The sequence below is a fragment of the Homo sapiens genome, chromosome 2, assembly GCF_000001405.40.
Source record: "Homo sapiens chromosome 2, GRCh38.p14 Primary Assembly".
Classification (NCBI taxonomy): domain Eukaryota; kingdom Metazoa; phylum Chordata; class Mammalia; order Primates; family Hominidae; genus Homo; species Homo sapiens.
In genome coordinates, this window is record NC_000002.12 from 223,058,530 (window position 1) to 223,070,956 (window position 12,427).

General features: G+C 38.5%; 1 long non-coding RNA gene across 2 annotated transcripts in view; it reads left to right on the top strand.

The window, feature by feature from the left end:
* Positions 1–2,065: 2,065 nt before the first annotated feature.
* LOC124907986 (uncharacterized) overlaps positions 2,066–12,427 on the top strand; it is a 61,427-nt gene continuing 51,065 nt past the window's right edge. For both annotated transcript variants that reach the window (XR_007088096.1, XR_007088097.1), the window contains exon 1: positions 2,066–2,174. This is a non-coding gene — a long non-coding RNA (uncharacterized LOC124907986). The remainder of the gene's footprint in view (positions 2,175–12,427) is intronic.

Consider the following 12,427-nt stretch of genomic DNA (forward strand, 5'->3'; position numbering starts at 1 on the left):
ATATGTATATATGTATATATATGTGTATATATGTATATATGTGTATATATGTATATGTATATATGTATATATGTGTGTATATATATATGTATGTGTGTGTATATATATATATTTTTCTCCATGACAGACACTTTCCCTTTGATTACCTCATTTAGTCTTTCCAAGGAAACTGTGAGATAGGTCTATAATACTTTTAATCCAGGTAAGAAAGTTGAGGCTCCTTTAGGACTTGAGGGGAAGATGGGAGGAGGGCGAGGGATAAAAGACTACAAATAAGGTGCAGTGTCTACTGTTCAGGTGATGGGTGCACCAAAATCTCACAAATCACCACTAAAGAACTTACTCATGTAACCAAACACCACCTGTTCCCCAATAACCTATGGAAAAAATAAGAAAATAATAAATAATAAAATAAAATAAAATAAAATAGTAATAAAAAAAGAAAATTGAGGCTCAAGGAAGTAAATTGCTGGCCAATGAAATAAAAGATCAGGATTCAAATGCAGGTCTTCTGAGATAAAATCTGGTATTCTTTTAATCACTAGGAAGCTGACAGCACGAGACACAGAATATAGTCCCATCTCAGACTTTAGGGAGCTCTGTGACATTGCATATGTTGCTCAACCTTTCTGAGTACATTTCCTCAAATGGAGGTAGTAATATCTTCTCTACTGTCTTCAAAACATTGTCAGAACTGCTTATAAAGCAGCTGGAAAAATTATAAGGGTCTGTGTTTGATAGAGGCTGTGTCTAGACATTACCAGTATTCACCAATATTCAGTTCTCTTCCTCTTCTGAGAACATGAAAGGTTCCACTTCTCAACCCCTCTCCCACTCCTCCTCTCCTATCAGCAGGGGCTAGGCAGGGCCATGTGATTCATTCTCTGTAAACAGACTACAAGTGATATATGTCACCTCTGAGCTGAGTCAGTGAAAAGTCCACATAGGATTCCCGAGTCACTCACTTCACCTGCATGTCACCAAAAAGAACATATGTTCCAGAAGATATAGGTAATGGGTGGAGCCTGTGTCAGCCTGGAATGGTGAGTTACTACATGAAAAGCAATGGCTCTGGATGGGTGCCCAAATCTGCAGCTGGCTTTGCATGAAACAATAATAAATCTAGGTTACAGTGAAAGATGGAAAAGTTGGTTTTTTTGTTACTTCACCATAATCTCACCCACCAGATTGATACAGGATATGACCGCATTTAAGAGATGCTAAATGTTGGAAGACACCTTCTGGATCATCTAAGCTGACCTCTCCATTTAGTGACAGGGAAATTAAAACTCATGGCAGTTAAGTGATTTGTTCAAAGTCATAGAGGGAGGCCAGGCGTGATGGCTTACTCCTGTAATCCCAGCACTTTGGGAGGCCAAGGTGGGTGGATCACCTGAGGTCAGAAGTTCGAGACCAGCCTGGCCAATGTGGTGAAACCCCGTCTCTACTAAAACTACAAAAATTAGCCAAGCGTGGTGGTGGGCGCCTGTAATACCAGCTACTCAGGAGGCTGAGGCAGGAGAATCACTTGAACCTGGGAGGCAGAGGTTGCAGTGAGCCAAGATCGTGCCATTGTACTCCAGCCTGGACAACAAGAGCAAAACTCAGGTCTCCTCCGTGGTCATGCCCACCATGGGGATTTACACCCTGTGGTGGACGTGGCCATGGAGGCCTCTTCCAAGGCTCGGTGAAGACAAAAGACCCAGATGGTCTTTTCCCTTGAGCCTCTCTCCTTGAGCTGTCCAGAGTAGCATTAAGTCATTGGTGCTGCCTCTATTTACCAGTCCTGTGAGCCTTGCTGGCAATTGGCTTCTTTTTTTCCTGGTCAAACCCTGGCACTTATTGCACTTTGTGGTAGGTTGGATCTGAGCGGGCAAGAGTAAACACATTTGCCCAAAGCTGTGCAAGGTGACATCACTGGAAACTTTAACAAAGGGGAAGAAGTCATAAATAGGAGGAGGGAAATTGTCAAACAGGTTTGAATGCAATTGCTCTGTATGAGGTGTACTGGCTTTTGGATTTTGGGTTTGTTTTTGATTTTTGCATATTTTTCTGCTCAGCTCCAGCGCCAGAGTGGTTCACATTCAACCCTCCTCCCCCAGTGCAGAGAGCTCCCACGACTGATGACTCCTGAAGGAAAACCCTGGAGGTTCAGCTTTAGCTTGAGGTTTCAGGTAATGCAGAAACCAACAGGCACATCACCAATCATCATTTTTATAAGCTTAGCCCTGATATGGAAGGAATAATTTCTCCCTCATTTCTATCTTCCTTTTCCATTCAGTACTTCTGCCAGGATGTGTTGCCTGAATAGAGATTCTGTTTCTTTCTCAAAATCTTCTCCTTTTTAATTCTCCTCTCCCATTGTCCTCAAGCATCGATTACAGAAGAAGTTATGCTGTCTTTGCCATAGGATTATAAACTTCTTGAGACTGAGAACCCTATAGTATTATTTTTATGTCTAAATGTCTAGTTTGAGCTGGCATTCTGCAGAAGTCTCTCTCATTATGTTCTTTTCTTCTTATTTTACATTTTCTCTTTGGGTGATCTCATCTGCCCTCAAACCTTCAACTATTAAGTAAATAATTATAGCAAATGACTATCTAGTGTTTACTATGTGCCAGGCACTGTTCTCATGACATTTAATTCTCACGACAAGCTAAGAGATAGGATTTTTTATTTATTTTTTTTCTTTTCTGAGATGGAGTCTTACTCTGTCGCCTAGGCTGGAGTGCAGTGGCATGATCTCGGCTCACTGCAACCTCTGCCTCCTGGGTTCAAACAATTCTCCTGCCCAAGCCTCCCGAGTTACAGGCACATGCCACCATGCCTGGCTAATTTTTGTATTTTTAGTAGAGATGGGGTTTCATCATGTTGGCCAGGCTGGTCTCGAACTCCTGACCTCAACTGATCCTCCCGCCTCAGCCTCCCAAAGTGCTGGGATTACAGGCATGTGCTACTGTGCCTGGCCGTGATAGGGATTTTAAAGCCAGTTTTAGAGGTAAAAAAATGGAAGTACAGAGAGGTTAAGAACATTGACCTGGTTATACAGCTATTTAGCAGAAGAATTGGGATTTGAACCTGGCAATTTGGCTCCAGAGTTAATACACCTACCTGCCTGCTGTGCTGCCTCTCCGTCTCCAGATCTTAGTCACTCAGCTGTAGCCTGGACTTCTCTCACAAGCATCAATGCCTCTGGCTGTATCCACCTATGTCCAATAAACACCTCACATTCCTGATGTCAAAACTCAAACTCACCATCTTCCCACCAAAAACCTGTCCCTCAACTTACATTTCCCATAATCCATTAGTCACAGAACATGGGTGCAAACATGGGTCAAACTCAAGCTTCTGTCCCCTACCTTAGGTCACCAGGACCTCCCTGAAATCTCTTTCCATTCTCATGGTCATTGTTTACCCAAAAAAGTACTTCTTTAAAAAAAACAAGGCCAGAAAGTTTTTATTCTTGAAGTGAGAAAAAAAGCCATCCCTCAAAGTATGTTTATTTAAATTGATTTTGATATTTCTCAAATTTAGCAGGGTGGTCCACACTGACATCAGGATACCACCTGAAAAATAACTTATAAAACAAATCAATGAAGGATTCTCTACCCATTTGGATTTTACCTTGACAATGAGATAGAGCTATGGAGAGCATAAAACAGGGATCTGTGTGGAGAAGAGGAAGGAGTAAAAATTCATCACAGTTTTCACAGATGCCCAGCACAGAGGATAGTCTTTTAACAGGCAGAAATATTCCTGGTGTGAAGGAAAGCAATCCATCTTGTTGGTCCAGATTGACGTAAATATTCCTCTGATCATTTGATCCCCTTGGTTTAGAATCATTCATTGGTTCATCCAACAGTTCTCTATTAAGTGCTGATTTTGTGACGGGCACTTCAGTACATAAGGGAGATACCAGGAATAAAAGGCTCAAAGAGAGTTCAGTCTAGTAAAAGAAGTAGCCTAGCACACAGACAACTACTAATGAGGTTGATAACTATTCACTGAGTCACTTAATATATATATCCTGTCTCCTGGGGGCCCACCAATGTGATCTTGGTTCTTAAATCAGCCATAATTTCTATAAGAAATTCACAAAGCCATAGTCTGGCTTACCAGTTAGTCTCTTGTGAATTTATTAGCATGAGTCAGGCTCCCTGTAGGCACCAAAAAATTATTTCTTTAATCAGAAAAATACCGAGGACCAGAGGAATGTTGAAACAGGAAAAGACATGATCAGAGCTGTGTTTATATAAATTAAAAAATAATTTAATCTTTGGAATGGAGCATGCAAGGCACTAGATGGACAGTGACAAAAACCCAGTCTCTATCATCACGTTGCTTGTAATTTTTTTCCATTCTGTAAGATGGATTGAGGAAGAGAGTTAAATAAAAGCAGGGTTCTACGTGAGACAAGTGCCTGAAGTGGGGCAATGGCAGGTGAAATGAAGACATAGAAGCTAGAAATACTGAGGAGTTGAAATTGACAGGATTTTGCAACCAGTCAAATATTAGAGCTTGAAGGGGAGAGTTGAGTCTGTAATTGAGAGAGTGGAAGTGCAAATAATAAAAATCCTTTCCAGGACTTACTGTGTTGGGCATTTTGAGTTGGAGGTGCTGACATGATATCCAGAAAGCATTTGGAAAATCAGTATGGAAATTTTTTGATAAGCTGGCACCACAGACAGTGATTTGGGAGCCTCTCACATAGACACAGGTCCTAAAAATCTTGAGCACAACTGAAATAGCCAAAGGTGAGAAGGACTGGAGAGGAAGGCAAAGAACAGCCCCTCAGGGAGCAGTGAATTATTGGGGGCTGGGAGAGGAAAGGGAGAAAGAGGAGGAGCAGTTCAAGAAGTAAAATCAGCATGGCAGAATGCTCAGGAACTGAGCAAGCAGAGATTTTCTAGAAAGTGGAGGTGGTCAGCCATAGAGAAATGAGGTTGCGGGAGGGGAAGAATCTTCCTTTTGATGACTTGCAGGTGATTAGTACCTAAGATGCAGGTTTTGTGTGTGTGTGTGTGTGTGTGTGTGATAGCTTTATTTTTTTTTCCAACTTTTATATTTTAGAACAGCGGGTACATGTGCAGGTTTGTTACATGGGTATATTGCATGATGCTGAGGTTTGGAACACATTACCCAGCTAGTGAGCATAGCACCCTCTAGGTAGTTATTTTCCATCTTTACCCCTCATCCTCCCTCCTCACTCTTGACTTCCCAGTGACTACTGTTTTCATTTTTATGACCCGTGTACCCAACTTATAAATGAGAACATGTGGTATTTGGTTTTCTGTTTCAAGAGGCAGAATTTGTAGAGTAGCTGGATAGAGATATCATAGGTATAAAAGACTGATGCCTGTTGAGGGATAGGTCATTGTCATTATAAACTAACTCACGAAGTTTGGTTGTGAAAAGCAAAGTACTGTATCCTCTGTCTAATTCAAGGAGTCAGAATTACAGCCCTCTTTCTTTTTTACTTGCCATTGACTGCCACTTGGTTTAGGTTGCAGATAAACTTTCCCTCCTTTTGGTGGTATGGGATGACTGTTCCTTTCTGTATTTCTGTAGGGACTGACGTTTTCCCAGGTTCATAGTGGATTTCTTTGAAAGTTATCCAGGGAGAATGTTAAGCCAGCCTGGAGAAGTTGCCTGGCGTTGTGTTATAGGGCTGCTTTGGAAAGCAGGGAATAAAAGTGACATAACATTCTCTCTCTCTCTCTGCAAACATCAGAGTGCATATACTTTGCTGCCAAATCTCTGCCTTTCCATGATTTTCTCTTCAGGTTATATAAAAAAGCACCAAAGACAACAGAGTGACCTTGTATTTAGGATTGCCCTGAATTTTTATATTTCTCTAAGGTGATTTTTATTCAGGAACACAATTTTTCTAGGTGCTTGAAAATTGATTGGGTGTATGATTGTATGTAATGGTGCTTTTTAATCTGGAACATGTCATAATGAAGTCAAGATGTTATTTTAGCTGATTATGTTTAATTTCTGGGTGTTGAGAAACTGATTACAGTACCTTTTGTGTATATTGGTTGTAATTCAAATTGCCTTAATAAAAGCAGGTTTCTGAAGAAGTGAGTGGATGAAAATATTCTTGTAGAGAGTAGATAATATTAAAATCATAGTCACTTTGTGGGCTTCCACCATTATAAAAATGTAGCATTAAAAACTGCTGTCTGGTTTAAAACCCTCCTTGCATTTCCTAATAGGGGTCCATAAAGAGATAGAGATCGGTCCTACAAAATCACACACAAACAAGATGGCCATCTCCAACTTGTAAAGGAAAGTGGCTTTAGGTGGCCCAGGGACTGATATTATAGACCAGAGAAGCAATGGTGCACCAAGAACCAGAGCAGATGAATTGAAGCTATTTGTAATAATTTCATAGTTTAATAAATAGGTAATAAAAAATTTATTTTGTGGCACTAATAATTAACTATTAGGACTTTGACAGCTTAAAATCATCTGAAAAGGAGAAGGCTAAAGGAATATTATTATATTTCAATTTAAAAAATGTAATTTTGGTCTTCAAATAAAGTAAACTATACTTTTAAAACAAAGACCAAATTAGGAAAAAAACTAGAACTGCCATGTGAATTTAAAATGTTGGTACTTTACTACTGGAAATCATATTTTTAGTAGAAAATGGGGCCTGATTTTACTTCAGGGATTAGGTTCTAAAATCAGAGTGTAAGGCAAAATTTATCCTTGAAAGCCCTTTCTTTAAGTGCTCTTAAAATTCCGGGACTTGGTTACTTTCAAGGTTGAAAGTTAAGAATAAACTTATGTGGTTTCTTACACGGCTTCAGTCATAGCCTCCCTTTTTCTGGGCCAGTAGAGTTTGAGGGAGATGTCGAATAGGCGAAAAGTCTCTGTTTCTCTTACACACACACATACACACACACACAGCCGTAAATGTAGTGTCCCTATTCTAGACTTTGCTGTAAAAGAGATGAATTATTTCTCAGTATTATAGTTGTTTTCTGTCCTAAAATCAATCCATGTTGCACTTCTATGCTGTCCTTCCATGTCACCCAACTAAGAGGCACTGCAAAGTAGCCATGGTCTTGACTACAGATGTGACAGGAGCATAGTCCCAAGGAAAACAATATGGTTTTCTCAGACATCTTTCCAAAACGCCGCAAGAGGTGTCCAAAGTGTTTAAGATCTACAGTTTCAGTGGTCACTGCCTTTGCATCCTGAGTTATACGTGTGGTGCGTTAACATTTAGTGAATGTCCATTAAGTGTCCCTTTTAATATTTAATCTCATTTGATCCTCACAATGGCCCTATACTGTTCATCTTACACGCAAGAAATTGGGGCTTTGGGAAGCATCCAAGGTCACATTATTACTAAGGGGCATAGTTAGGATTTGTTCTAACTATGCATCTAACTGATACAAACACATGTATTTTTTTTCTACTCTGCATTATAGTCTTTCCTCTTTTTCCACAAAATGATAGTAAAATTATGTAATTATTGTTCCCCCTGATGTGAGGTTTCACTTAAATTCATTTATATGAGGTTTCACTTAAATTCTGCATTTCTTCATGAGTTTGAAAACTTATAACCAATTGGGAAAGTCATGAACTTTTAAAAATTCTAAACTCCCAGCAAAATTAACTCAGTTGTCTTCTCAGCGTCATTCAGAGAAAGGGCAAGTCTGTTGTACTACAAAATGGAAATGAAATTATCCTCTGAACTGAGATGGCGGTTCTCCAGGATAGTTGTGCTAGAAATAAAGACCACATTCAAGAGAAGTAACCGGGGCTCTGAGGGGTGAAGGACTGGGTGGGTCCTGGAGGGAGAAGAAAAGGAGACTCTGAGGCACTTACCCGTGACTAGGAGTGGTCTGAACAGAGCCTTAGTGACTTAGGGTGAGAAATTTGGTAGCTGTTGATTTGCATAGAATAGGCATTTCAGTACTTACTGTAGATGCAGAAAAGTGACTTCAAAAAAGAGCAAGGCCATTTAGATTCATTTATTCATCAATTCAGCATTCATTTTTGAATCTTTATTGTGTGCAAGATCATTTTGTTCTAGTGCCCTGAAAGATTCACAGAAAAACAAGACAATTTTTCTTTTAGGGCTGAAAATACTTAGCTAGCGAAGATAGCTAGATGGTACTTTCAAGTGCTTGAAACCCTTTCTTTTTAAATAAAAAAAAGAAATAAACTATTTATTTTGTTTGTCAAAGGAGTTATGAGTGAACACATGCAATTGAATTTAAGGCTTTCACGGAAAAAAAAAAATCAACCGATTTCTTTTTCTTCTTTTTCGTTTTATGAAAATTTCCAGTCCAGTCTTCCTCATTGGTGTTTATCGTGTCAGGTTCATACCCTGACTTATCTACTGAATCTTCTTTAGCTCCATGGTGACAGACAACACAAAAATGGAAAATATTCTTCTAGATTTTAAAGTGCATGTTTTCACTGAAAGAAATGTAATCTTCATGCTTTTAGCTCCTTAAACTTTTGATCAACATGTCACTACAGAAGAACAATTTGACGTCTAAAGAGTATTTTCAGTTTTTAAAGCAGATCTGATTTTTAAAAATGGAAAGTCATGATAGGCTATGGGCAAGAAATTTGAAAATAAAGATTGTTAGGGAAAGTTTGACAACTGCCGTTTAAAAATTTTGTTTGGTTTTCTATTTAGTCACAGCTGGAGAGGACACGGAGATCAGCCACAAAATGTTAAATCAAGTTGTATTTAGTTTTAAGGATAAGCATAAAGATGCTTTTCAATTATGTTAAAAGAGTTAAATACATATAATTCTTAGAAGAGGGTCTCACATATAGTAAGCACTCAAATATTACTATTATGTTTATATTGATACTAATATAGCAAAAATTTGTCATTGTATTTTTATTTCCTTATATTACAATGTTCCTTTTACATGCCAGAAACTGTGCTGTCTTATTACTAATCACATTATTACTGTTCTCTTTGTCCAAAGAACATGAAACCTTAAGATTCTTAGTTTTTAGTGTGGAGTACTAATTGTGAATAAGTCAAGAATCTCTTTTGAATTTCATTATCACCATTTCAACATGGATATGGAGATAGAATGTATTTGGAGTGTAAATGTATTCAGATACTCAGCTCAAGTCTATCCAAAAATCACTCTTTGAGTATCCTCTATGTGCTAGAAGTTGGGTGTGTAGAGCTCATGGTCCTGTACTTAGGTAGTTTACAGCATTAGAGGAGGAGACAGATGTACAAACAAATACATTTCATATGAAGGGGTAAGTATTAGAATAGGTTGTTGGTTGTCTGCTATGAGAGCCAGAGTAGAGAATAAGCTGGAGAGGTGGAGAAAGCCTCCTCATAGGTAATGGCATTCGATCTAGGTTCTAAAGAATGAATAGGAGTTACCTCAATTTCTTTATCTGTAAACAAAGAGAGTTGGGCAGGATTCCTTTGTGCTTTAAACTTCTGTGATTTTAATGCTCTGAATTTTACTTGGTCACTAATGAGGGACACTGGGCCTTTGCATTTTGATTTTTGCAGAAGATCCTATCTACACAATCCTAAAGCTCCTCCATCCACAGTAAAAATATGTTGACTGTTCAGTTGTTCTGCTATCCTGCCAAATAGCTGAGCTTTTAGATTTCGGGACAAAGAATTCACACAACTGGCTGAATGTTTCACTTTTCATCAGGACATTTTGGCATCAGGTAGACAATAACTGTGGATGAATTTCAGGAATCTCAGGATTTGGACTAAGTATAGAGAAAATAATAGCTTAGATTCTGATTTGAAGTGAAGTTCAATTATCCAGAGCCAAAAAAATATCCTTTCTTCTTCCAAGTGGTCTAAGATGCTTATTAGCTCTGGCTTTGGTCCTAGGGTATTTTCATAATGAAGTCGGCTGAAAGTTTGCAGGACAGATAGGGTTGCCATTCTTCATGGGGCTGTAGAGGAGAGCAGAGCTAACTTAGAGACTGGAGGAAATAAAAATAGTTGAATGAGGAGAAAGGTCCAAAATGTTACCTGAATGATTATATGATGGGACACAGGTCTGCCTCAACAATTCCTTGGTAATTGGAATAATACATATTTTTAAACCAACCTTATTAGAGTTAAAATGCACACTTTTATGTATACAGTTCTTTGAGTTTTGACAAACTCCGACACCCAAATAGCCATCACTACAATCAAGATACATAATACCATCATCACCTGAAAACACTGTACCGCTTCACGGTCCTTCCTCTTCCCACACCCCCAGCCTTAGAAAACCACTGATCTGCTTTCAACACTGTAGACTAGATTTGCCTTTTCTAGAGTTTCATATATGTGGACTCATGCCGTATGTACTCTTTTGTGTCTGACTTTTATCAATCAGAGTAACATTCTTGAGATTCATCAATGTAGTTGGGCATATCAGTCATTCTTTCCTTTTAACTGCTGATTAGTATTTCATTGGATGGAATACCACAATTTGTTTATCCTTTCATGTTCATGGACATTTGGGCTGTTTCTAATTTTAAAGCTGCGGAAAACATACACGTACAAGACTTGATGTATACATATTTTTATTTCTTTTGGGCAAAAATACTTAGGAGTGAAATTGCCGGGTCATATTGCAATGATATGTTTTAATTTTATAAGAAAATGTCAAACTGTTTTCCAAGGTGATCATACCATTTTGCACTCCCATTAGCCATATGTAAGAGTTTCAGTTGTTCAACATCCTTGTTTACCTCGTATCTTTAATTTTAGCTACTCAAGTCAGAATGTAGTGGTATTACATTGGTGTTTTAGTATGCATTTCCCTAATGAATAATGATTTTAAGCAACCTTTCTTATGCTTGCTGGCCATTTGTATATTCTTATTTGTGGAATGCTTGTTCACATCTTTTCTGCAGTCATTTTGAGACTTTTACACGGCTCCCATATGGTTCGTGAATGTGCTTTGGGCCTTCCATGGTGGGTGGATTGAGTTTGTGCTTAAGGTTATTTTGAAGACAAGTTTCCATGGTTAAAAGCAAAATTTGAATACCATCGGTTTAAAGCAAAATTGTGAAAGAGGCAAATTTGGCTCTTGGTGTTTCCATTCCTCTTTTCCTCAAGGGTTTTCACTTGTAAGTGGTAAAATGCTGTGCTGGACTCTCTGGGAGCGCAGAGCTTATAAGGCCTCTGGATTCAAGAAAGCATTGGAGTAGAGAGGAACATGGCCAGGCTCTGGAGTCATGGAGATATGGGTTGGTACCCAGATTCTACCATTTATTAGCTCTGCAATCTTTAACAAATTTGTTATCCCCTTCAAGTCTATGGTTTCACCAGCGAGAAATGGGATTAATAATATCTAACCAGTAGGCTCTTCTGGGGATAAAGTGAGTAAATAAATGTAAAGTTTCTAGAAGCATGCCCAGCACATAGTGGATACCTGTCAAATAGTTGTTTCCTTCTCTTTCTCTCTACTCCTAAACTTGTCTTTTTTCTTCCCTTTATTTTAGAATCTTAGGGTCCCCACTGTGGCACTGCATTCTTCCCACCCTTTAAAGGTTCTAGACTTAGACAAATTCTGCCCCATTTCATCATTTATCTGTTTCTATTCTCTCACAGAGTCTTGCTGAATGTGGGAGTAGCTAATCTGACAAACCTAATTTATGAATTTATGTTAAGGTGGCAATGGTTGATAATATTTCAAAGTTTCACTAAGTACCTAATCCAAAAAAGATGCAGAGAAGAATAAGACCTGGGGGAATTTGAGGCCTGTGGAAGGCTGATTAGAGTAGGTAGTGGTTTTGGTATCGTTGACCTTTCCCAGAACCTTATAAAAATTCCATAAGTGGCTCTCTCCAGGGAGTTTGTCTGAACTTAGACATTTTTAATTAGTTGATTCTTCTCAAATCCCCCTCCCCAACTTTTTTATGAGGTCTTTCCCACCATCTTCTAGCAAACCAGTACCATATAAATGGCTTTACAAGGCAAGTAATGGTTTTTCAATAAATGTCTTGTTTTTTGCCAAATTTATAGTTTAACTATGATCCCATACTTGTTGATTGCTTGTGATTTAGTGGCACATTTAATACAAAATTTAAGACTTTTGATAAAACTAATTATCTGTAGTTGTTGTAGCGAAACCCTGCCTGAGTAGGGAGACCCAGTATCAGTCCTCCGGATTGTAGTTTTGGGAACCCATCTAGCATCTTACTAAGCCAACAAATCTTCAAGGGAAGTTTGCAGCTGTACCTCAAAGATGTCACGAAATCACAGAATAATAGACTCTTATAGCTGGGAGGGCCTTAGAGAATAGCAAGTTTAATCCCATGTCCAGTTTTTAGATGAGAATATTATAAATATTAAAAAGTAATTTCTTGATGAATATTGGTGTGTTACACTGGTCACAATATTGACTTGGACATCTCCACTTCTGAGAATATTCTGAGACAGCTGATTCATTCA